This window comes from Homo sapiens, chromosome 14 (assembly GCF_000001405.40).
Source record: "Homo sapiens chromosome 14, GRCh38.p14 Primary Assembly".
Lineage (NCBI taxonomy): Eukaryota > Metazoa > Chordata > Mammalia > Primates > Hominidae > Homo > Homo sapiens.
Genome location: NC_000014.9, coordinates 92581971 through 92608924, shown reverse-complemented (window position 1 = coordinate 92608924; position 26954 = coordinate 92581971). Strand labels below are relative to the sequence as shown.

At 45.9% G+C, this 26954-nt stretch overlaps 1 protein-coding gene across 2 annotated transcripts in view, besides 3 other annotated features; it reads right to left on the bottom strand.

The window, feature by feature from the left end:
* The window catches only part of RIN3 (Ras and Rab interactor 3), a 175214-nt gene that overhangs the window by 80070 nt on the left and 68190 nt on the right, over positions 1–26954 (bottom strand). The window lies entirely within an intron of this gene.
* Positions 22577–22726: an enhancer, noted in NCBI's record as "active region_8938". NCBI's record gives its function as "activates an Ori minimal core promoter by ATAC-STARR-seq in GM12878 lymphoblastoid cells {active_cell/tissue: GM12878}" and the evidence as "EXISTENCE:reporter gene assay evidence [ECO:0000049][PMID:35858748]".
* Positions 25483–25642: an enhancer, noted in NCBI's record as "active region_8937". NCBI's record gives its function as "activates an Ori minimal core promoter by ATAC-STARR-seq in GM12878 lymphoblastoid cells {active_cell/tissue: GM12878}" and the evidence as "EXISTENCE:reporter gene assay evidence [ECO:0000049][PMID:35858748]".
* Positions 26623–26692: an enhancer, noted in NCBI's record as "active region_8936". NCBI's record gives its function as "activates an Ori minimal core promoter by ATAC-STARR-seq in GM12878 lymphoblastoid cells {active_cell/tissue: GM12878}" and the evidence as "EXISTENCE:reporter gene assay evidence [ECO:0000049][PMID:35858748]".

Below are 26954 nucleotides of genomic sequence, written 5' to 3'. Positions count from 1 at the left end.
ACTTGTACCCCCAAATTAAAATAAATAAATTTTTTAAATGCAAGTTTTTTGTATAATTTAATAAACAACTTAAAAATGCTAAGAGAGAGAGGCTGGGCACGGTGGCTCACACCTGTAATCCCAGCACTTTGGGAGGCTGAGGCAAGCAGATCAGTTGAGGTCAGGAGTTCGAGACCAGCCTGGCCAGCATGGTGAAACCCTGTCTCTATCAAAAATACAAAAATTAGCTGGGCATTGTGGCAGGTGCCTGTAATCCCAGCTACTCAAGAGGCTGATGCAGGAGGATCATTTGAACCCAGGAGACAGAGGTTGTAGTGAGCCAAGATCGTGCCACTGCACTCCAGCCTGGGCAACAGAGTGAGACTCTGTCTCAAAAAAAAAAATGCTAAAAAAGAGAGAGAGAAATTCAGTTTTATCATTCAGCAATGCAAACGAACTGTCAAGAGCAGAGACTGTGTGTGCATCTTCTGTTTTGCACAGAACCCCCAGCATATACCATGGTGGTTGGTACATTGCCAGTTCTCAAATATTTATTTAATTGCATTAATAAAATAAATAACTGTATTCATAAAATGGTTTATTTTGGAATGCTTATAGATTCACGAGAAGTTGCAAATAAATGAATAGGGAAGTCCTGTGTACCCTTCACCCAGTTCCCCCCAGTGGTAACATCGGTCATAATTAGAGCACAATGTCAAAACCCGGAAATTGACCTCAATGCAATCCCCAGATGCCATTCAGATGTCAGCAGTTTTATATGCACTCATTTGTGTGTGTGTGTGTTTGTATAGTATTAGGCAATTTTATCACATAGGTAGCTTCGCACAGTCACCACAATCAAGATATTTAGCTCATCCAACACCACAGAGCTCCCTTGTGCTATCCCTTCATAGCCACATCTACCCCCTCCCCATCACTAGCCCTGACAACTAATCTGTTCCAGTCTCTATGATCACATTATTTCACAAACATCATATAAGTTGAATCACAAAGTATATATCTTTTGAAGACTGGCTTTTTTCAGTGTAACTTCCTTGAGGTTCATCCAAGTTGTTCCGTGAATCAACAGTTCATTGCCTTTTACTGCTGAGTAATATTCTGTAGTAAGGATGTACCATGGGTTTGTTTAGGCATTCATCCACTGAAGGACATTTGGATGGTTTCCAGTTTTTAGTTACTATGCATGAAACTGCTGTAAACATTGGCATGTAAGTTTCTGTGTGAAAAATGTGTTTTCATTTCTCTGGGATATATGCCCAAGAGTGAAATTGCTGGGTCATGTGGTAAGGCCATCTGTAGTTTCCCATCCTTTTTTGGGGAAGGGGTCTCACTCTGTTGCCCAGGCTGGAGTGCAGTAGTGCCATCACGGCTCACTGCAACCTCAACCTCCCAGGCTCAAGTGATCCTCAGCCTCCTGAGTACCTGGAACCACAGGCATGCACCACCACACCCAGCTAATTTTTAAATTTTTTGTAGAGATGGGTAACTCCTAGCCTTAAGCAATCCTCCCACCTTGGTCTCCCAAAACGCTGGAATTACCGGCATGAGCTGCCATGTCCAGCCTCTACTTTTCAAAGGAACTGCCAAACTCCTTTCCAGAGAGGCCACACCATTTGACATTCCCACCAATGCAGGGGTGATTCAGTTTCTTCCCATCCTCACCAGCCTTTAATGTTATCCCTACTTTTTATTTTAACCATTCCAATAGGTGAAGAGTGATATCTCATTGTGGTTTTAATTTGCATTTCTCAAATAATTAATGATGTTGAACATCCTTTCATGTGATTGTTTGCCATCTGTATATCCTGTTTGGTGAAATGTCTGTTCATGTGTTTTGCCCATTTTCTAATTGAATATTTTTCTTTATGGCTGAATAATATTTTACTGTATGGATATATCACATTGTATTTTTCCACTCATCAGTTGATGGACATTTGGATAGTTTCCACATTTTGGCTACTACAAGTAATGCTGCTGTGAACATTTGTGTACACGTTTTTGTGTGGATGTTTTTACTTCTCTTGGGTATATAGCTAGAAGTGGAATTGCTCAGTCATATGGCAATTCTGTATGTTTAAGAAACTGTCAAACTGTTTTCCAAAGTGACAGCACCATTTTATATTCCCACCGTGAGGATTCTAATTTCTCCATGCCCTTGTCAACACTTGTTATTGTCCATCTTTTTTATGATAGTCACCCTAGTGGGTGTGAAGTGTATCTCATGGTGGTTTTTTGATTTGCATGTCTGATGATTAGTGCTGTTGAGAGTCTTTTCATGTGTTTATTGGTTATTTCCATATATTCTTGGCAAAAATGTCTTCTCAGATCCTTTGCCCATTTTTGATTGGGTTACTTGTCTTTATTTATTTATTTATTTTTTGAGACAGGGTCCTGCTCCGTTACCCAGACTAGAATGCAGTGGTGTGATCATGGCTCACTGTAGCCTGAACATCCTGGGTTTAAGCAATCCTCTCAGCTAAGCCTCCCAAGTAGCTGGAACTACAGGCATGCACCACCATGCCCAGCTAATTTTTGTTGTTATTGTTGTTGTAGATATGGGGTCTCAATATGTTGCCCAGGCTGGTCTTGAACTCCTGGGCTCAAGCAATCCTTCCACCTTGTCTTCCCAAAGTGTTGGGATTACAGGTATAAGCCACTGCACCTGGCAGAGAGTTCTTTATATATTCTAGATGCACATTTTTTGTCAGATATGTGATTTGCAAATGTTTTCTCCCATTCTGTAGTTTGTCTTTTTGTCCTCTTTTTTTTTTTTTTTTTTGAGACTGGCTCTGGGGTTCCCTCTGCTTCCCAGGCTGGTGCTGAACTCTAGGGCTCAAGGGATGCTCTCACTGCAGCCTCCCAAGTAGCTTATATTACAGGTGCATGCCACTGCATCTGACCTTGTCTTTTCATCCTCTTAATAGGGTCTTTCCAATATTTAAGAATAAAATAGTGCTATCCAAGCTTGTCTGGAAAATAGTAGGCACATAATGGGTGTTACATAAATGATTCAATAGGGCCATTCCCAATCTGCTTTAATTAACGGTCAATTCTTCTCTCTATTGATATCATTAATGAATTGTGGGCCTTTAACCAGTTATTATCCTTATCTAGGCCAAAGTCCTCTCTGTAATTTTATTGACACTATTATTTCCCTTCCTAGATGCTTTCTTCACAGATGGTGCAAAGGTAAATTTCAGATATGCCCAGTTTTAATTACTGCAAGTTCCCAGTGATTGAGGCTAATGTATTCAACAAATGAAAACTTAAACTTATCCTTCATCACACTGACTCTAGGGAAAGAATGTCTATTGACACATGCCTTCATTACAGTCTCATTTATCTTTGCTAACATATGAAGTGTGAGCGTTTGTTAATCCAAGCCTGATCCTTGCTTTGAGAAGGAACAGATCATGATATGAAAGCATGGAACGAGGATGTACCTTGCCAAGGATCATTATTTTTGAAGCATACACATACTTGTGAAACACAAACCCAATCTTTCATTTTAGCAGACAGCTTTGTTAACCCCAGAGATCCCACTTCTAACACATTTTGATCGACAATAGTCGTTGTTAATAAAATTTCCAGTTCTGACCCCCATTTGAAGGGCTTGGTCAGAGTTTCTCTTTGACTAGGGCATTTTTCATTATGTATTTACTCATCAACAAGGACTTATTGTGCTCATAGTATGTAGAAATAAAGAGTAAATGGGGCGGGGAGTGGTGGCTCGCGCCTGTAATCCTAGCACTTTGGGAGGCCAAGGTGGGTGGATCCCTTGAACTCAGGTATTTGAGACCAGCCTAGGCAACATGGTGAAACACCATCTCTACCAAAAATACAAAAATTAGCCAGCCATGGTGGCCCACATCTGCAGTCCCAGCTACCTTGGGAGGCTAAGGCAGGAGGATCATTTGAGCCTAGGAGGTGGAAGTTGCAATGAGGTCCAGCCTGCGTGACAGAGGGAGACTCCCTCCATCTCAAAAAAAAAAAAAAAAAAAAAAAAAAAAAAAAAGAGGAAAATGGATAAGGAAATTGACAGGAAGCCTCAACAGAAGGGTAACAGGGAATCTGCCGGTATATGGGCCCTGGGACCTACCTGTAATTCTTTCTTGGTGGGGAGGGGTGGGTAGAGATTCAAAAATAATCAGCTCATTCTCTTTTGATGATTGAACATTTGGTTGGTAGGGCGAGAGAGATGTTGATTGATTTTACCTAAGGAAAATCTTGCATGCAGAAGGCCTCAATATGCATGCTTATGGAATGAGCACTGGATGGATTACAATGGAGAGATTAGGATTGCCCCAGGAGGAAATTGTTATCGGGGACACAAGGAAGGCTTGGACACCACCCCTACAGGAGACAGGAGTTTCTGACCTTTCGGAGGGCTCAATGCTTGGAGAAAAAAATGCCCTTACACCTGGCTAGGAGGGGACCTTTGGGTGGACCCTGGAAGTAGCTTTCACCCCAGGTCCTTATGTAACACTACTGAGCCAACCTATTCCAAATCCACCTATTACCCAGATGGGTGAGAGAATTCAATCCTAATGGATTCTGATCCTCTTTCCTAAAAGGGGCACTACATCTTTGAGCTGGGTCCCTGACAGGAAAGGCCAGGGGCGCAGACCCTGAGGATAAAAAGTCAAAGTGACAAGGGGCTGGGGACTGGTTCCCAGCTGGGGAGTGGGAGGGGGGGCGCCTGCAGGGCCCCATGGGCTGGGGATGGGGAAGTGAGGCCCTTCAGGGCCATGCCCACTCTTCCATGGACCCCCACCCACCTTGGCCAGCCTGTGGGCCATCCTACAGGCCCCTGAAAGGGGCAGGCGCCTTCCCCATTTTGAAGGACATAGTTACATTTTGGCCAGGGTCCACGGCTGCCCAGCAACACCGCAGTTGCCATGGGAACCACCACTTGGCCAGTTTGTGGCTGAGGTGGAGAAAGGAATGTTTGCTACCGTCACAGGGCTTACTATCCAAAGGCACGATTTTCTGAAACAGATGGAAATTGCTTTGTGTTCCTGGGGTAGAAGTGGGGAAGATAGCGATTTCTTTGGAGTCCCAGGGACCCGCTGGTTCCAGGCCCAGCCCTGGCACCCACTGGCTTTGAGGTGATGTTGGAGAACCACCCTTTCCTGCCTGAGGAAAAGGTGCTGCCAGACCAGGGCTGCCAGCACTGCTGGTACCAGCAGAGGGTAGCAGCTGCCAAAAGTGAGAAGAGCAGACAACCCCATGCCAGCCTGAGTGGCTCCTGTGTTCTCTGAGATTCGCTACCATGTAAGGACCGCAACACGGCACAGGCAAGCTCTTGTTTTTGCTCCAGGCAGAGCCCAAAGCTGGACAGCACAGACCGGGCACAGGCCCCTGGGTCCACCAACCACATACCATGAGACTCTTGAGACTTGCTTTCTCTAAGTGCCAGGTGAGGAGAAGAGTAACTGAGCCCCTCCCACACCCTCTGGGTCGTTGCACAAAAGCTGAAGGCCTCCCCGACAGAGGATCTGACTGCAAGATAGCAGCTGCTCCACAAAAGACAGCACAGAGATCTCCAAGACCTGGGCAGGGGGCTGAAGGGTGGGGAGGGCAAAGGGTGAGTTAGGGTTCAGGGAGCTGGAAGAGGATGCCGATTGGGAAAATGTGCTGAAAAAAAGCATCCTTTCTCTTTTGCTGGCTGTTACTGATGATCTGGGGTGGCACCTTTGCCTCTGGAGCTGGCCCTGGAGTTTGTATGTTTCCAGCCTGCCTGAGTCTCCCTCTGTAAGGCTCCAACACCTGTCCAGTCCGCAGCTCTCAGTGTAAGATCATCCCTCCTTAGCCCTGGTCTCCACCCACCAGGGCCCTGGGCCGAGTGCGATGCAGGCTTGCAGTGCAGAGTAGGGCATAGTGAGTTTGCCTGAGTTGGCCTTTTGCTGGAGGCCAACGGGAAAGTGATGGGGAGCACTCAGCAGCCATGGTCAAGCAAGGCTGCTTCCAAATGCCCCAGGTTGCAGCCCTGGACAGGGAACCACTGAAAGCCAGAATGGAAGGGTTCTAAGGGATAGCTCTGCACCCTCCCCATGGCACAGATGGGGAAACTGAGGTCCAGAGGTGGCACATCATCAGCTTGAGAGAGGGGATCAGCCCGAGTGCTTTCCAGAGTTACATTCTAGAGCTCTCTGGAATCCAGATTCTGATTCAATGGCAACTGTCATTGTTTGCCTCCTTCTCCCAAATTCCCAGCACTGGGCTTTGCGTAAATTCGAGCCTCCTGAGGAGTCATGGAGGGTTACAGTTTTCAAAGTTTTAATAATAATAATAATAATGTCATCTTCCATTTAATAAGTGCTCACTGTGCCAGGCTCTGTACTTCTAATCAAAATGACAACTCCATTATCTACCTTTAATAGGTGAGGAAACTGAGGCTCAGGAAGGCTAAGTGACTGGCCCAAGGCTGTGGCCAAGTTGTGACCATGGCCCGCCAGCCAGTATAGCAGGTGCCTTTTGTTGAGAGAGGAGGTGCAGGCTGGAGGAAGGGTGTCCCAGTGCCTCCTACAGGAATGCAATCGGCGTGTCCCTGCCTCACTGTCGGCAGTGATGCCTTTCCTGTGGGCCACCATCTCCCCTGTCATCGGGCAGTCCCCAGGTGATCCCTTGGTGAGGCCTTCTTGGGCAGAACTTCTGGCCCCTCCCACTGGCCTGGGCACTGGGCACACAGCTGACTTTACAGCTGATTACAGCACATCATGATTTATTTACAGGCCCAGCTCTGGCCCTGGACGAAGCTTCCAGAGAGCAGGGCCCAGACCTCATTTCTTTTCACCATCCTGGGTCCAGGACCTTGCCTGGACCATCTCGCATGCTTCACAGGGCTCGTCGTTGCTGCAAGCAGCATGTTACCCTGAGGTGACTCCCCACTACACTGTTCATGCTGTAATAAAAGATTCCTTTTCTTGGAAGCTGCTCTTCGTATTGAGCAAGTGCGTAGATGAGGCTTTCTAAAAGTCTGAGAAAAGGAATACAGTGCAAGCATACAAACTGTCACAATGCAGCCAGGACTTTGTCTGGGAGCTATTTATAGGTTCAGATGCCAAAACAGAAGGGGAGACATTGGACAGATTTGCAAATTGCCAAGTGTCAGGGAAGGCTAAAGAGAAACCAGGCTGGGGAGATTTTTAGGGGAAGGGGAGGTGGAAGGAGTCAGGGGAGATGCTGGGTAAAGGTGCCACCCTGGAAAGAGGTGCATGTTGGGGAAAGCAATCCCACCTGCTTCCTGCTCACGCCGCAGGGCCGGGGAGATGTCTTTGACTGGACCCATTGAGAAAAAACACTTTGTTCTCTCTGGGAGCAGAGGGGACGGGGAGAAGGGAGGTGGGTAACACCTTGGTAGTGACAACAGCCCTGAGTGCCACAGAAGGATCTCCAAGACTGTCCAGAAAATACCACCTTCAACATCAGAATCTTACAAAGTTCACCATTTCCCCTGCAAGCTTGGGAACTTTGATCTGAGGTCTTGGAGAAAGTGACCGCCACTGTGAGACCCAGAGAAGCTCAGTAGCTCACTGAAGGTCACAGAGCTAGGAAGCGGTGAGGCTAGGACGTGGCCTTGGGCGGTTCTGACACTGCAGTCCGTGCCCTCACCTACCACATGGGGCTGGTGAGGCTCTAGACCCAAGAGAAAGAGAATGTGAGCCATGTGTGCAACATCAATTTTCTCATAGCCACATTAGAAATAGTAAACAGAAATGGGTAAAATTAATCCCAATACTGTATTTTATTTAACCCAATATATCCAAAATATTGTCATTTTAAGATACCATAAATATATTAAAAATTACTAATAGGACATTTCATATTTTTTTCCTATTAAGTGCTCAAAGTCCAGTGTGTATATTACACTCACAGCTCATCTCAAGATACTTGAGCCACATCTCAGGTGCTCACTAGCCACATGTGGCCCCTGGCTACCATACTGGGTGGCACAGCCCTAGAGCCGTGGTTCTCAACCAGGAGCAAACTGATCCCCCAGGGGGACATTTGGTGATATGTAAAGATACTTTTGATTGTTACAACTCAGAGGGTGATGCTACTGGCATCTAGTGGACAGAGCCCGGGGATACTGCTAACATTCTCCAATGCCCAAGACAGTCCACACGACAAGGAATGACCCGGCTCCAAATGCCAACAATGCCGTGTTTCAGACACCCTGCTCGAGAGAGAGAACCAGTTTGTGCTCCTTGAGTGAACCGGCAGGAGCCCAGGAGTGCCATGGACGCCAACACCTAGTGTGCTGCCTGGCACACAGTGGGTACCCGAAATCAGTGCTCAGAACTGAATTCAATGGAAGACGGCCCATGACTCAGTCTCAGAGGAATCACGCTCCATCCTCTTCACCAGCAGTGCAGAGACACCAAGAGCCAGGAAATGAGTTGTGAAATCAAGAACAAGGGATCAGTCTCAGTGCAACTGACAGTTCACTTGCTTCGAGATGCTACTGATTCATGCTTGTAAATAGCCAGCCTGCTGGGGTCAGGGTGCAGCTTTCTTCCCACCCCCCTTAGGCATCCTGGGGCAGCCCCAGCTCTTGGGACGGGGAAGCCTGCAGCTCCGGGGAGCAGAGTCAAAGAGGGTGCGTGTTAGGGCACTGGATTGTGCCCTAACTGCATCCCACAACTACATCCCCTTCTAACTGTGAGGCTTCCTCTCAATTTCCTTATTCATTTTCCTTTTTATCATGTGCCTGCACTGCATCCTTCAGCTCAGCCCATTGCTAAGAAAGCTGACACTGATCTGCATCTTCCTCATCTTTGTCTATTTCCTCACTGGTTCTGAGCGCAGGTGGTGAAGCAAGGGGTGTTATTTAGAGCACTGCTCCTATCCCTAAATCCACCACAGGCATAGAACTGGAGGGTCTCTGAATCACTATAAATGCCCCAGGTCAGGGATGGTGACATCACTGTGGCTGCAAAGAGAAGTCTCTCAGTTGGCATGCGGATGTTCCTTGTGACTGCCTGGGGTCAGGGCTCAAAGCTCCCAGGCAATTATATCCACAGAGTCATAGATTTCTCTAGCTGGTCATCTAACTCAAATCCCATTTTAGCGACAAGATGGGAGTTGTATAGCCCTATAGGAACAGAGTAGCCTTGTCTCTAAGAACAGAGGTGGAAACAGGTCTCTTCAGTCCAAAGGTCAAGAACACAATGGAAGGATGTGGTGTAGTTTAGCATCTCACCGCTCCAGCTGCCCTTGTGCTGGTGACGCTCAAATCTCTACCTTGCACTCTTCCTTCCCTCCAGAGAACCAGACCCAGGGGTCCATTTGATCTTTCTTGTCAAGTATTTGCTGAGCTCCCACTCCATCACAGGCACCAGGGGGTTGCTCTCTTTCTCCCAGGCACCGACGCTCACTGCGTCCCTTGCTGTTACCCTCTAACTGCTCTTCCCTGGGCCTGGGGTGATGCTGTCCCACAGTCCCTGACACCAGGTACCCCTGAGGCACCACTGGCTCCTCTTCCTTCATCATGCCATTTCTGCCAACCAGGCCCAAGAGTCCTCCTCCTAAATATGTCTGGGGCATGTCCCCTCCCCTCCATGTCTGCCATAACTGCCTGGTCTGGCCCCACCATGCTGTCACCAGACTGCTGCCATGGAGCTTCCTCTGGTCTTCATCCTCGGCAACCTCCCCTGAACTCCAGTCTTCACACCCCCAAGGGCGGGGGGCTTCTGTTTAGCAGGCACATCGGATCGTGCCCCCACACTTAATGTCCTTCGCTGGGGTTCCCCAGGGCCATTTAGACAGAGGCTGAGCTTCAAGGCCTGGATGCACATTGCCCTGCGAGTGGCTCCAGCTGATGCTCCTGTTCTCGGCTTTCCCTCCCTTTCACACCAGCCACACTGGACTCTCCCTGGATGCACCCCACCATTCTGCCATTCTGTGCACTTGCGTGGACTATCTTGCCACCTCGTGTGCTCTTCCAAACAGGACACTTCTATTCATCCTTCAGGACACAACTCAAATGTCCTCACCCCTCAGAGTTGTTACCCTGGGGTCTCACTCACCAGTCAGTGTTGTGGGGTGGTGGGGGTCCTTCCTCTGACTGCAGTAAAATCCTAACATCATTTTAATATAAATCTGTCCTTAAAGTGAATAAATGAATGTCTTCTATAATTCTCTATTTCTGCCTTAACTGCTATTTCTGTAGCATGAGTGATTCTTGCATCCCAAAGTAAACAGAAGTCTCCTTGCAAGCAGAGACATGTTTTCAACTCAAGAGCAGTACAACACAGTGTTAACAACTCATGTTGGGAACCGGGTTTCTGGGGTTTAAATCCTGTTCCCACCACTTGCTAATTAATGTGTGATCTTAATTAAGCCACTTCAACTCTCTGTGCCTCCGTTTCTTCATCTGTAAAAGGAGGGTGAGCATGGTTCCAGTTATCTATTGCTTTGTAACAAATCATTTGCAAAATTTAGTGGCTTAGAATAATAGCTATCTTATTGTAGCTCACAATTTGTGGGTCAGGAATTTGGCAAGGCTCAGCTGGGTGATTCTCCTGCTCTTTTTGGCACTGACTAGGGCACTTAGTGGTATTCAGCTGCAGGCTGGTCTGATCTGGAGGGTCCAAGGCACTTTTGCTTATGCCTGGTGCCTTAGCAGGAATAGCTGGAAGGCTGGATTCACCCAGGCCTGTCTTCCTCTTGGGCCTCTCTCCCTCCTTATATAGTGTCCAGGCCTCTCCACATGGTCTCTCCAGTATGGTGGTGTCAGTCGTCAGATTTCTTACATGACAACTCAGAGCTCCCAGAGTCCAGGCAGAAGCTGTCAGTTCTCTTAAAAGCTACATCTGCGACTGGCATAGTGTCACTTCTGCTTTATTGTATTGATTGGTCAAAGAAGTAACAGGCTAGCCCAGATCCAAGGAGAGAGGCAATAGAATCTTGATGGGAGAATTGTCAAAGAGTGCATGACCATCTTTATTCTGCCACACTGTACTGTTTATATCCCAGGGATGATATGCAGATTAAATTAATTCATATAGAATGCTTAACAAGTGACTGCTATTATGATTCTACTTCCTTAAGGCCTGAGCACCCAGCAAAGTCTCAGTAAATATTTTGCGTCATAACTCAGTAGGAGAAGAGGCACATAGAGAACATTCTAGGTCGGGCTACACAGAGCGGGCTTCTTGTACCAATCGGGAGCCACATTCTGCAAACTAGGGATCCAGCTGGAGTCCTAAGACCATGATATAAGAACGGAATTCTGAGGAAGCCCAGGAGAGAGAACAGAACTAACAGAAATCCAGTAGAATCTACCCCACTCCAAGGGTCTCCCAAAACTCTATTTGGGAGGTACCATATTTTACAGATGAGGAAACTGAGATTGAAGAGGCTCAGGAATTTGCCCAAGTTCAACCAGCTAGTAAGTGAAAAAGCAGGTTTCAAATCTAGGTCTGCCTGTCTGTTGGCTTCTTTCACCACAGCCACTGCCACTGGCGTTCCTCAAAGAAAACCATGGAAAACACTTGACCGATCCTCTCAATGAATGACAGGGTTTTGGTCCTCAGGACCCTGGAGCCAATGAGAAGAAGCCCCTCAGGCTTGATGATTTCAAAGGTCATCCCATGATCAGCTAATAGTCTCACATTATGCATCTGATTTCTCTGGGAATCTATGCTACACGTGTCCTATCATGCCCTGATTGAAATTTATTTCCTGTTTCTACAAAGATACAGCCAAAAAAAGACACAGCTTTTCATGTAAGAATTATAAAAAATAATATATATAAACACACATCATCCTATTGACCCACACACACATCATGCTTTTCGCAAAATGCTCACATACGTGACACCTCCCCATGGTTCTGTGAGATGGGTATTACCATCCGCATTTTCTAGATGAGGAAATTGAGCAGTAGTGTGCTGGTAATTGCTTAAATCCAGCTCTCCAGGAGGGAAAAAAAACAAACAAACCCTGATTTATAGCATTTGCCAGTTTCCATAAGGTACTTACCACCAAGTTGGGAAGAGATTCACACAATCAGCTGTCACCAGCTGACATGAGTCGGCTCCAGCATGCCACCAAAAACACAGCTCAGGCACAAACCCACCTCCACTCAGTTGTTACGAGGGAGAGTCAGACCTGGAAGTTGAGTGACCCTTCCTCACCATGGCTGTCCTTGCTGAAGCCATCTAGTCCCAGCCTGCCCCCTTTCTGCACAACTCTGGTACTTCGCAATGAACATAAAGCACGTTAATATACTCTTAGCTTAGGCTTCAGACTCCAAGGGTAATTCCAATGTTCTTTGTTAAATAAATCCCCTGCTAAAAGAGGAACGGATAAGATACAACCACACAAAGAGTATAAAGGATTGATTATTAACTCCTCTACTTCCTCTCTGGAGTCCTCCACTTCCCTTGTCTTGGAGAGTCATTTGGATAAGGAATATGGGAGATAAGACAGGAAACAACCTGGCTCAGGTGAAAGAGCTTGCACGTGGCATCTACAGACCCAGGTTTAATCCCAGTTACATCCGGGGGCACACTTCAGCTGCAGACTAGAGATCCTACCACCTGTTTCATAGCGTTATGAAGACAGACGGGCCAATGTCTATGAATACCCACATGGTACCTGGTAGACAGCAACTCCCCAATAACTGGGGCTGAAGGCTGAAGAAAAGTAAGATTTCATGACCTAGTTATTGGGGAATTGGTCTCACCTGGGGGATCCTACTTTTGTAGGTATAAAGGGCAGCCTTGCACTGGGAACTACATTAAAGGAACATTCCAGCAGGGGAAATTCCTCTGGGGCAAGTTCCCTAAAAGTTTCCAATGTGAAAACTAAGACTGAGACAACAATAAGCACAATAAAACATGTAACAGGATCAGGACTGATGACAAAAGCAGTGCAAACTACTCATTGATCCTGGGCAGATAAGGGGAGATGGACACAAAGAGACACAGAAAACATCAGTTTATTTCTATAGAACTTTCCAGAAGGTCTCATGTCTGACTGCTTCCTTAAATAGTTTAGGCAGAAAGAAGCTGGTGAGACAGGCATCAGAATGTGGCTTCCTCTGGACCAGGTGGGCTGCCTGGACACTGAGCAACATGTATTTTCCTTTACCATCCAGGTGCTTGGGACATCTGGGGTTAGGCAAAAGAAGAACGGCGCCTTCTGTCTGTGTGGGGCTTTATCTTTCCAAGGCATTTTGTATCTGTCTCTTGCCAGGTGAGGTCAGCCTCAGAGATGTTGAGTGACTTGCTTAAGGCCACATAGCAAGTTACTGGGGAAGCCTGATTAGAACCCAGGTTACTGACACACTCCCATGGCTTTGCACAAGCTCACCTTGGCTCTAACACTGCTCACACTTCCTAGAGATGAGGCCGCCTAGGAACTCCCAGAGCAAAGCAAATCTGGGAGGTGGGTTCAGAGGCGCTCAGAGGTAATAATCAACTTTCTCTTTTGGGAAAACCCCCTCAAAGCCAAGTTCCCCTAGAAACATCTCTTTAGAAGTCCTCTATATGATGTGATCTGCCCAGGGCAAGCTGAGCGTCCACACAGAATGCTGTGAGAACAATAAAGCACTTGCAAAGGCTCTTTGTCTTGTTTCTTCCACTCTTGCCCCAATCCACTCAGCTACCCAAGTGATCCTTTTGAGAGCAGAAGCTGGTCCACCTTCATCCCATTGCCTGCAATGCCATTCCTGCAACCCTCTCTTTTTTCCTTCTCCCTTGGCTCATTTTGATCACAAGAGCCCTGATTACACTGTGTTGCAATTGACAACTCTGCCTCCTTGACTAGATTTGAGCTCCTTGAGGACACAGACACCGCCTTAACATGATCCAGGGTTCAGTAGATGCTAGTTACCTATATGCATGAATATGTTATCAATGAATGCAGCAGTATGCAGCTCATTCTTGGATTTCTGTCAGATTTTAGGTATGTTCACATATATTTTCTTGTCTGTTCCTCATAACAACAATATAATCCCAAGCACCTGGATTATAAAGGAAAACACATGTTGCTCAGTGTCCAGGCAGCCCACCTGCCCCAGAGGAAGCCACATTCTTATGCCTGTCTCACCAACTTCTTTCTGCCTAAACTATTTATGGAAGCAGTCAGACATGAGACCCCATCATGTGGTTGGTGAAAATGAGGATCAGAAGTCAAATAACTTGCTTTAGTTCACAGAGCTAGTTAAGTGAGAGAAGTAAATATAAAACCAGGTTTTCTTCTTTTGTAATATATGCATTCAATGCTATGAATTTTCCTCTAAGCACTGTTTTCACTGCATCCTACAAAGCTCGGTAAGTTGTGTTTTCATTTTCATTTACGTCAAAGTATTTTTAAATTTCTTTTGAGATTCCTTCTTTGTATGTTGGTTAGAAGTGTGTTGTTAAATCTCCAAGTACTTTTGGATTTTCCAGCTATCTTTATGTTATTGATTTCTAGTTTAATTCCCTTGTGGTTTGAGAGAAGACATTGTATGATTACAATTTTTTTTTTTTTTTTTTGAGACAGAGTTTCGCTCTTGTTGCCCAGGCTGGAGTGCAATGGCATGATCTTGGCTCACTGCAACCTCTGCCTCCCAGGTTCAGGTGATTCTCCTGCCTCAGCCTCCTGAGTAGCTGGGATTACAGGCATGCGCCACCATGCCCAGCTAATTTTGTATTTTTAGTAGAGATGGGGTTTCTCCATATTAGTCAGGGTGGTCTCAAACTCCCGACCTCAGGTGATCTGCCCGCCTTGGCCTCCCAAAGTGCTGGGATTACAGGTGTGAGCCACCATGCCTGGCCTGATTGCAAGCCTTTTAAATTTTTTTTAAGGTGTGTATTACGGCCCAGGATGTGGTCTATCTTGGTGAATGTTCCAGGTGGGCTTCAAAAGAATGTGCATTCTGTTATTGTTGGATAAAATAGTCTATAGATGTCCACCATATCCAGTTGATTATGGTGCTGCTGAATTCAACTATGTTCTTACTGATTTTCCACCCGCTATATCTGCCTATGTCTGATGGAGGGGTGCTGAAGTCTCCAACTATGATAGTAGATTAATCTATTTCTCCTTGTAGTTCCATCAGCTTTTGCCTTAAGTATTTTGATGTTCTGTTGTTAGGCACACACACATAAAGGACTGTTAGATCTTCTTGGAGTACTGCTCCATTTTAATGCCTCTCTTTATCCCTTACTTTACTCAGTCTGAAGTCTACCCTGACTGAAATTAATAAAGTTACCTCAGCTTTTTATTATTATTATTATTATACTTTAAGTTCTAGGGTACATGTGCACAACGTGCAGGTTTGTTACATATGTATAAATGTGCCATGTTGGTGTGCTGCACCCATTAACTCATCATTTACATTACGTACATCTCCTAATGCAACCCCTCCCCCTTCCCCCCACCCCACAATAGGCCCTGGTGTGTGATGTTCCCCTTCCTGTGTCCAATTTAGTGTTAGCATGGTATACCTTTCTCCATCCATTTACTGTTAATCTATATGTGTCTTTATATTTAAAGTGGGTTTCTTGTAGACAGCATATAGTGGGTCTTGTTTCTTGATCTACTCTGACAACCTCTCTCTTTTAATTAGTGCATTTGGACCATTAAAATTCAAAGTGATATTGATATTGCTGGATTGACATCTACCATATTTGTTACTGTTTTCTATTTGTTGTCCTTGTTCTTTGGTCCCACTTTTGTCTTCCACTCTTTTTCTGCCTTTTGTAGTTTTAATTGGCATTTTATATGATTCTATTTTCTCTCCTTTATTATACTTCTTTTTAAATTATTTTTTTTAGTGGTTGTCCTAGAGTTTGCAACATACATTTACAACCAATCCAAGTCCATTTTCAAATAACGCTATACTGCTTCACACGTTGTGAGGACAGTTGGCCCTCCATATCTGCAGCTTTCACACATGTAGATTCAACCAACCATGGATTGAAAATATTCAGGAAAAAAAAAACAAATTTTGGCTGGGTATGGTGGCTCATGCCTGTAATCCCAGCACTTTGGGAGGCCGAGGCAGGTGGATCATCTGAGGTCAGGAGTTCGAGACCAGCCTGGCCAACATGGCGAAACCCCATCTCTAAAAACACAAAAAATTAGCTGGGCATGGTGGTGCAGCCTTGTCATCTCAGCTACTCAGGAAGCTGAGGTAGGAGAATCTCTTCAACCCAGGAGGCAGAGGTTGCAGTGAGCCAAGATCACACCACTGCACTCCAGCCTGGGCGACAGAGTAAGACTCTGTCTCACAATAATAATAATAATAATAATAATAATAATAATAATAATAATAATAATACAAAATTTAAAAGCAATACAGTATAACAACTATTTACATAGTACTTACATTGTATTGGGTATTACAAGCAGTCTGGAGGTGATTTAAAGTATACAGGAGGGTGTGCATAGGTTATATGCTAACACTACACCATTTTTTATCAGAGACTCAAGTACCTACTGATTTTGGAATTGTGAAGGTGGTCCTGGAATCAATCCCCCACAGACACCAAGGAACAACTGTACCTTTTTTTTTTTTTTTTTGAGACAGAGTCTCACTCTGTCGCCCAGGCTGGAGTGCAATGGCCTGATCTCGGCTCACTGCAACCTCTGCTTCCTGGGTTCAAGCAATTCTCTTGTCTCAGCCTCTCGAGTAGCTGGGATTACAGGCAAACCACCAGGCCCAGCTAATTTTTTGTATTTTTAGTAGAAACGTGGTTTCACCATGTTGGCCAGGCTGGTCTCAAACTCCTGACCTCAGGTGATCCACCTGCCTCGGCCTCCCAAAGTGTTGGGATTACAGGTGTGAGCCACTGCACCTGATCAACTGTACCTTCTAATAACAAAACAATCTTAATTTCTTCCTCCCATTCCTTGTATTATTGTTGGGCCATCATTTTGCTTATATATAGATACACATACACACATAAGCATAAGTAATAGAATATACTATTGCCATTATTTCCAACAAACTGTTATCTGTTAGGTCAATTAAGAATAAGAAAAGTAAACATTTTTCTTTTGCCTTCACTTATTCCTTCTCTGATGCTCTTCCTTTCTTTATGTGGAACTGAGTTTCTGACCTTTATCATTTTCTTTCTCTCTAAAGAAATTTTAACATTTGCAAGGCAGGTCTAATAGCAACAAATCCCCTGACTGTTTGTTTGTTCGAGAAAGTCTTTATTTTTCCTTCACTTTTGAAGGAACAATTTCACAAGGTACAGAAATCTTGGTTGGTGTTTTTTTTCTCTCAATACTAAATATTTCACTCCACTATCTTCTTGCTTGCATGATTTCTGAGAAGTCAGATGTAATTCTTATCTTTGTTCCTCTATAGGCAAGGTGTTTTTCTCCCCCCTCTGGCTTTTTTTCAAGACTTTTTCTTTGAATTTCTGTAGTTTGAAAATGGTATGCCTAGGTTAGTTGTTTTGGCATTGATCTTGCTCAGTGTTTTCTGACCTTCCTAGCCTGTGGTTAGGTGTCTGATATTAATTTGAGGAAGTTCTCAGTCATTATTGTTTCAAATATTTTTTCTGTGCCTTTCTTTTTTCTCCTTCTGGAATTCCCATTATATGTCTGTTACACCTTTTGTAGTTGTCCCACAGTTCTTAGATACTCCGTTCTGTGTTTTTGTTCAGTCTTTTTTCTCTTTGCTTTTTCAGTTTTGGTGGTTTCTATCAAGATATTATCATGCTCAGAGATTCCTTTCTCAGCCATGTACAGTCTATTAAGAAGCCTATCTAAGGCATTCTGCATTTCTGTTACAGTGTTTTTGGTCTCTAGCATTTTTTTGGTTCTTTCTTGGAACTTCCATCTCTCCGCTTACATTCCCCATTTGTCCTTGCATGCTGTCATCTACTTTAGCCATTAGAGTCCTTAGCACCTTAATCATAGTTGCTTTAAATTATTGGTCTGACCATTCCAACCTCTCTACCATATGTGAGTCTGTTCTCATGCTTGCCATACCTCTTCAAACAGTGTTTAATGCCTTTTAATATGTCTTGTAAGTTTCTCTTGATGGCCAAATGTAATGTACTAGATAAAAGGAACTGCTATAAACAGGCCTTTAGTGATATGATGAGAAGGTATTGGGGAGGGGGAGAGTTCTAAATCCTATGGGTAAGTCTCAGTCTTTCACTGAGCCTGTGCCTCTGGACTGTTAACTTCAAAAGTATGTCTCAGTTTTTTCCTCCTTTAAGTTGGGCAGGATGGCTAAAATGGGCTGGAGTTGGGTATTTCCCTTTCCCAGGCAGGTTAGGCTCTGGTATTAGGCCATTCTTGCATTGCTATAAAGAAATATCTGAGACTGGGTAATTTATAATGAAAAGAGGTTTAACTGGCTCATGGTTCTGCAGGCTTTACAGGAAGCACGGTGCTCGTATCAGCTCAGCTTCTGGTGAAACCTTGGGGAGCTTTCAATTATGGTGGAAGGTGAAGTGGGAGCAGGCACTTCACATGTAAAGCAGGAGCAAGTTAGGTTGAGCAGGAGGGTGCCATACACTTTTAAACAGCCAGATCTCACCAGAACTCATTACTGGGAAGATAGCATCAAGCCATGAGGGATCCACCCCTGTGACCCAAACACCTCCCACCAGGCCCCACCTCCAGCATTGGGGATTGCAATTCAACATGCAATTTGAGCAGAGACAGATCCAAACTGTATCAGCTCTGAAAGCATACCTTATTGAGAAGAACAGACTGCTCTGGCATATTTCCAAAATGTTCCTTTTGCCTTCTTCCTGCAGGATGCATGAGATCTTTGATATTCACTGCAGGAACCTGGTCAAGCTACTGGTGGTAAAACTCACAAAAGTGTGGAGGCCCCTAGATGACTGGCTTCCCTGGAGTTTTAACTCAGGCCTGTCCACAGTGAACATCCACTAGTTCATCAGTTACACATTGGGTTTCCCTAGCTCAGCACTGGTTCCCATGGGAGTTTTGCCTGTGGGTTTCTGCTCTGGCAAGCTGCAGTTCTCTGCATTTGCCTATTAGTCTCTCCAATTTTGGGGGCAGTGACTTGACCTGTGACCCCACCTTTATGACAGATCCAAGAAGAGTTGTTGACTTTTCAGTTTGGTCAGGGTTTTACTTATTAGGACCAAGTGATGACTTCAACTTTCTAACATGCCAGACCGGACAGAAGCCAGGTTTTCTAATCCTGAACACCCACGTCACATGGGAAGGGGGGCAATCAGGAATGGAGGAGAGACAACTAACTTTTTATGAGCACCTACTGTGTGCCAGGCACTATTATTGCACAAAGTTTCAGTTAATCACCACTATGATTATGAGCCCATTTCACAGTTGAGAAAGCCAAGGCTTAGTGAGATAGAGGTTTGAGTGGCATTGTTAAGATCTCACAACTGATGAAAGCAAAGGGGTGGGATTTTAATTTGGATCCACTGGGTTCCAAAGCCCACCCTCTCAGTCCATCCAGATCAGGCTGTCTCCCTGCACAGGTGTGAGCTGTTATTAGCCAGTCGACCAGTATTTGCTGAACACTTGCAACAGGCTCTGCCCTCTGCTGGACAATGGAACACAGATGTTGTATGCGACATAAAGCTTCCAGCCCAGCTGGGGAAAGAAGATGCGACAATATGAAACAGACAATGAAGGATAGGGAACATCTGATGAGCTGAGAGGAGTGGGGAGACCAACCCAAGCAGAGGAAATGGCACAAGCAAAGGCTCAGAGGTGGGAGTGAACACAATACATGCAAAAGAGAGGAGAGAAATGAAGTAGGGTGGTCCTGGAGGAGGCTGTAGGGACTGCTACTCTTCCAGGGGGCTTTGCACTGTGACAACCTGGAGAAATCACTCTGAACAGGCAAGAACAGGCAAGAAACCAAGAAACTTCACTGTGCACCTAAGTAGCCTTGCAGGGAAGTCAGAGGGTCTGGGTGAATGTGGGCATGGGGAGGATGCTGTCAGTCAGAAAGAGCCTTACATAGAACAGGTTCCCGCTCCTCTGCTATTTCAGGATGGCCAGGACAAACTAACTCCTACACTTCATGGGCTAATGACTGACATTCCGTGATAACACCAATACGAGAGCTTTTATTCCTGCTAAGATGCACACTGCCCTGGCAGAGAGTGCTGCTTTATGGTGGTGTTAGTCTTGCACGTGCTAGTACTAGTATGGTTACTGAGTAGAGAATTTCCAGAGAGGTTTTCAGGGAGGGTGGGAGAGGGAGGCAGACACAACCTGAAAGAAAGGTGATTGCCCAGATGTTGCCTCCTTTCATGCTGCTATGATCTGAATACTGGTGTCCCCCCAAATTCCTATGATGAAACCTAACTCCTGATGCAAGAGTATTAAGGGGTAGGGTCTTTAGGATACTGATTAAGTCATGAGGGTGGAATCATGAGGGATCCACCCTCATGAATGGGATTAGTGCCCTTATAAAAGAGTGCTATGGCAGCTGGGCATGGTGGCTCACACCTGTAATCCCAGCACTTTGGGAGGCCGAGGCAGGCGGATCACCTGAGGTTGGGAATTCAAGACCAGCCTGATCAACATGGAGAAACACTGTCCCTACTAAAAATGCAAAATTGCCAGGGGCGGCGGCACATGCCTGTAATCCCAGCTACTTGGGAGACTGAGACAGGAGAATTGCTTGAACCCAGGAGGCGGAAGTTGCAGTGAGCAGAGATCGCGCCACTGCACTCCCGCCTGGGCAACAAGAGCGAAACTCCATCTCAAAAAAAAAAAAAAAAAAAAAAAAAAAAAAGAGTGCTATGGCTTGAATGGGTCCCCTCCGAAATTCACGTGTTGAAACTTAATGGCCAACATGATGGTATGAGGAGTTGGGGCCTTTAAAATGTGATTAGGCCATGAGAGCTCCTCCCTCGTGGATGGGATTAAGACTCTGATAAAAGAGACTTCACACAGTATTCAGCTCTCTTGCCCTTCTGCCTTTGGCCAAGTGAGGACATAGCATCCCTCGTCTCCAGAGAACACAGCTTCAAGGAGCCATCTTGGATCAGACAGCAGCCCTCACTAGACAAGAGAACCTGCTGGTGTCCTGATCTTGGACTTCCCAGTCTTGCAAATTGTGAGAAATAAATTTCCATTCTTTATAAATTACCCAGTCTTGGTATTTTGTTAAAGCAGCACAAATAGACTAAGACATGCTGAGCCAAGATTATCCAAACCCGGTGCTCTCCTGTGACAGGAAGCCCAGGAAGCACTGTGGCCTGGGCTCTGACCCCTGACCCCACTTGCAGTCACTTCCAAAAGAGGGGTGTCTGTGCAGTGGTTTCTGGACCCCCGAGACAGTTGAGGTGGGCTGCTTTCCCAACTTAGATGTACTTTCTAAAGCTGCAAGGCCCCTGAAGGTGGCAGCCCATGTACACTCAGGCTTGGCCACCCACAATACTAACCCATTTCCCTCATCTCTCCCTTTTCTCTTGCCTCTGAGGCCATGTGTTCTAGATCTTTCTCCATCTCTGTCAAAACTTCTTCCTGTGTCCAGTTCTCTCCTTGCAAAACAAACTCCTCCACTGTCCCTATGTTCCCGTTTCCTAGAGGGGCATTACTGTACTGCAGCCCCTCACAGGCCCCAACCCACTGAAAGGGCTTCCCTTCTTGTGGGTAATGGCTGCCCCAGGGCCTGCCCCTTATCTTAGCTCCCCAGTCCCAGTTCCTAGGCAGCCAGGAAGGCCATTACCTGAGACAGGTGTCTCAAGCACCTTCCTCCTCTTCCTCTGTCCTGGCAGAGTAACTGTCTTGTTCAGCTCCCACACAGTCAAGCTCTACTCTGAAGCACCAATCTCATAGGGCTACTTCCTGCTCAAAACCTTTGCGTGGCTTCCGATAACACTACAAACCAAATCTCTAACACCCTCGGGTGGTTGTCAAGGTCTTTCGTGACCTGGCCGAATCCCACCTTCTAGCCTCAACTTTGATTCTACTTCCAATCTACCTCTCCCCCAACAGAGTTCTACCCTTTCCTGATTTTCTTTTTCCTGCCTCTGAGCCCTGATGCAGGCTGTGGACTCAGCTTAACACATCTGTTCCTCAATTTCTCTTTTTCACAAATATTTTCCATCGTCCAAGGCCCAAAGTAGGCCTGGGTGGATTTCCCTGAGTGTCATTGGTTTTGATGACCCAGAGTACATGCTTACATTCTAACATTTAGGACAGTTCGAACGACTTGTATTTCTGGTTATGTATGCATGAGCCTGTCTCTCCCACTGGTTCAATGCCAAGAACCCTGTCTTCAAGCCTGTCATACTGTCTTCCTTCAGAAGCCATCCAACACATATTTAATTGGTTGCAAAGTCTTTGAAATGTTCAATAACACAGAGAAAGCTCATAATAAAATGTCTAAGTGAAAAAAAAAGGAGGCTAAGAATACACCACTATGATTCAAGATCTATTTTTTTTAAAAGAAATTCACCACTGAAGTTTTACAATAAAGTTCTTGGAGTTAAATTATCTCATGATGTATTTTTTTCCTGGCCCAACTCCAGTGTTGGAGGCTGAAAAGGGGAATGCTGAAAACAGAAAGAAATAAACTGTGGTTATTTTAGCCAAAACCTCTATGAGTAATAACCAATGTGAGATAAGAAGAACGAATCAACATCTTACAGGAGTTCTCCAAGAGCAAAGTGTTGCAGGAAACGATGGGTTTTGTGGTATGAACTGCATGCTGCTCAAACTCCATAGCTAATTATAGCTGCTAGTATTTATGGTGTGCTTACTACACACAGGCTTTTTCCCATAAATGTCCCCATTTCATCCAGGAGACAAAGTTGTGGAGCGCGTCCCATGTGCCAGGCAACACGGTCCCAAGCCCCTATGAGTAGTCACCGATTGATGTGCTCATCATTCCTCCCAGTAGCTGTGTTGCAGAGTTCCCATGTTGCAGATGAGGAAAGTGAAGCAGAGAAATTAAGTAACATGTCTGATGTCACAAGGTGACAGAGAATTAAAACCCAGAACTGCCAGCCTTTCTAAAGCTTAAGCTCTCAAAAGAAGTTTGCATTAACAAGAGTGCAAGATTACCACGATGCCATCAGTACTTCCTCACTGCTGAAATATCAAGAGGCTGCCTTCTCGACACCAATCCCTCTTTTAATAATAATCACTCCTTACTTTTTATGGACTGAAACTGCACAACATGATGAAACCCTGTCTCTACAGAAAATACAAAAATTAGCCAGGCACAGCGGCGTGTACCTGTAGTCCCAGCAACTTGGGGAGGATCGCTTGAGCCCAGGAGGTTGAGGCTGCAGTGAGCTGTGATCACACTACTGCACTCCAGAGCCTGATAGAGTGAGACCGTGAAAACAAACAACAAACAAACAAACAAAAAAACCTGCTGGACTAGCTCAGGTAGGATTGCTTCTTGCACCAAACAAGTCTCCCACTCTAAGGCATGTGCTTTTAGGTTAAGTAGTTGAAGCTGACACATCTGTCCCTGGGAAGGGAGCCCATGTCATGGGCAAATGTAGTGAACCCTTGTGCTAACTGGCATTGGTGGTTATCACCACTGGACTATGGGGACGTTTTAAATTCAGGAAAGGAGAAATGCTAGATGAGTCCTCCTGGGCAGTGGAGATCCATGTGCACGGGTGTCAGCGTCACCCACAATGCCTTTGAGTTCTGCTCTTAAGTTTGACCCTTTCACCAGCTGACCCATTATCCTAGAAAGAGATTTGACCTGGATTTAAATCAAAATGTAAATCCAGCACTTTGGGAGGCCAGTTTGAGACCAGCCCGGACAACACAGAGACCCCATCTCTACAAAAAATAAAAAAATTACCCAGGCACAGTGGCACACACCTGTCATCCCAGCTACTTGGGCGGCTAAGGCAGGAGGATCGCTTGAGCCCAGGGAGTTGCAGCTGCGGTTGCAGTGAGCTATGATTGCGCCACCGCACTGTAGCCTGGGCAACAGAACAAGACTCTGTCTCTATAAATAAATAAATAAATAAAGCAAGCCAGGGGAATAGGCAGGAAATGAAGAGGGGCTACCTGGGAAACATGGGGTAAATGGCTCAGATGGTGAGTGCTGGGCAGCTCACTTCCTGTATGGGCATTTGTCACTGTCTCATGGTTCCTATTCTGGAGATGGGGCCAAGTGGCCTTCTTTTTAGAGCAGCCAGCAGAAAGACGCCATCACCTGAATCTGTCACTGTCACCATCTTCAAAGCCCATCAATGAAAAAGTAGCTAGTGTCCTCCTGGCCAGGTGGCTCACTTCAGCCATAAACGGGCAGGCTGCAGCTCAGCAGCTGTGCTAGCCTCCCTTCCATCTTGAGTCTCGGCCCTTCATCCCATACATCCCCTGCCCCCATGCCTCTTCTGCTGGTCCCCTCTCTCTCCACACACATCGGGCCTCTGAGGGTCCCCAGTGAGGCCAAGTGGTGACCAAGACATCTCTTGTTCCCTTTGTGCAGCAGAGAGGAGGACTGGGGATGCAGGAGATGGTTGTTCACATAATGCTTGTTCAAAATGGTGGCTACCCTGCCCTGTGGGTCACATGCTTGCCGGAGGATTAGACTTCCCATCCTACTGGAGGCTGGCCTGGCCATGTGACCTGTTTCAGCCAATGAGATGTGAAGGGAAGTGACACCTGCCTTCTCTGAGTGGAACCTTTGGGAAACAGTCATGGATTCTGCTTTCTCTTCCCGCCTGAATGCCCCAGATGGGTGCTGCTCCTTCAGCCTGCATTGCAATATACACAAGTTGTTGCAAAGAGCCTCAGATGGCATGTCACCTGAGTGAGAAATACAATTGTCCCTTGGTATCTGTGGGGGGTTGGTTTCAAGACCCCCCCACCCCCTCAGAAACCGAAATCTGAGGATGCTCAAGTCCTTGATATGAAATGGCATAGTATCTGCCTATAACGTATGCACGTCCTCCTGTATACTTTAAATGAGGGGTCCCCAACTCCTGGGCCAGGGAACTGGTAGGAACCGGGGCGCACAGCAGGGGGTAAGCATTGGGAGGGCGAGCTTCACCACTGGAGCTCTGCCTCCTGCCAGATCAGTGGCAGCATTAGATTCTCATAGGAGCAAGAACCCTATTGTGAACTGTGCATGGAAGGGATCCCGGTTGCAGGCTCCTTATGAGAATCTAATGCCTGATGATCTGAAGTGGAACAGTTTCACCCAGAAACCATCCCCCATCCCATCTGTGGAAAAATACAGTGCATATACACCATGGAATACTATGCAGCCATTAAAATGAATGAGATCATGTTCTTTGCAGGGACATGGATGAAGCTGGTGCCAAAAACGTTGGGGAGCTCTGCTTTAAATCATTTCTAGGTTACTTCTAATACCTAATACAATGTAAATGCTATATACACAGTTGTTATACTATATTTTAATTTACATTATTTTTTATTGTTGTGTTGTTATTTTTCATCTTTTTTTCTTTGAATATTTTTGATCCATGTTTGATTAAATCCGTGGATGTGGAAACCACAGGTTGGAGGGCCAGCTGCACACTCATTTTACTTTGTGTACACACCCATGTGTGTGCAAGCAACTGGGGTTAGGGTTGTTTGTTACCACAGCAAGACTAGCCCAAGCTGACTGCTTCAGAGAGTTTCAAGGAAACACTTAACAAGAAACTAGAGGACAATCCAGGCACATGGAAACGGAAGTGGTCAGAGCGAGTGTTTCTTCTTCAAACAGAGCAGAGTCACAGATCAAGCTGGCTACCCCTTTTGGGGTATCCCCACGTCTCTTTCCCTTGCCTCAGCTCTGTGTGGGGAACCCCAACAAAAGGCCCCAGTTCCAGGCCTGGGCCTTTCCCTTGACCACTTCCCCCTCAGATCACCCCCTACTGCAGTCACCGTGGCCACAGTGTCTAAAGTCCTAAGCAGTGTAGACACACGAACCCTTTCCAGTGCCCTGTGATGGCGGCACCATCATTATCCCCATCTTACAGGCAAGGCAACTGAGGCCTGGAGAGGTAAAGTAACTTGCACAAGGTCACACAGGCAGGAGAAAACAGCGGGATTCAAAAAGCTGTGTGGCTTCCATGGTCTGTCTCAACTGCTGTGTCAAGGAGGAGGGCATCAAACAGGAAGAGAGCAAAGAGGCAGGAGCGGCACATTAACTCGGCAAAGAAACAAGTTACCTGCTGCTTTCTTAATGTTGTCTGGGTGCATGCTAGTGGCTGACCTCAGGGGAGTGAGGTTTGGAGAGCAATGGAGTAATACAAGGACACGGCAGGCCAGGCGGGGTGGCTCACGCCTGTAATCCCAACACTTTGGGAGGCTCAGGCAGGCAGATTACCTGAGGTCAGGAGTTCGAGACCAGCCTGGCCAACATGGTGAAACCTGGTTTCCACTAAATACACAAAAATTAGCCGGACGTGATGGCGCATGCCTGTAGTCCCAGCTACTCAGGAGGCTGAGGCTGGAGACTTGCTTGAACTCGGGAGGCAGAGGTTGCAGTAAGCCAAGATCATACCACACCACTGCACTCCGGCCTGGGCGATAGAGCAAGACTCCATCTCAGGGAAAAAAAAAAAAAAAAAAAGTAAAAAAGGAAACAGCAAAACCACACACACACAAACTTACGGATGACACCTGTGTATTTATAGTGAATGCACATGAACGATGATGGAAGTGTTAGGTTACAAGAAAGATTTTTGGTTTTCATCATATTTTCAGCAAATTGAGCACTGAATTTTTAAAAGTTTAAAAATGGAAAGTGAGATTCGGCCACACGGCCCTGGGAGGAAGAAAGAACCCATAGAAGTAGGCTGGCCGTCTCTGTCTCTGAGTGACCCAATTTGTCCCTCAGGCTTGAAAAAATTCTTCGCTTGACCAAACTTTAGTCAGGCTCCTGAACCTTCTCCTAGGCCCATCTGTGCCTCCTAAAATCCAGTTTTAGCAAGAATCCTGCTTCACTGGTTTAGAAAAACACCTCCCCCTTGATATCTGATCACTGTCAATATCTGATCAGTTTCCTCGTCCTCCACCATCCCCCGGGTGCTGTCTGATCACCC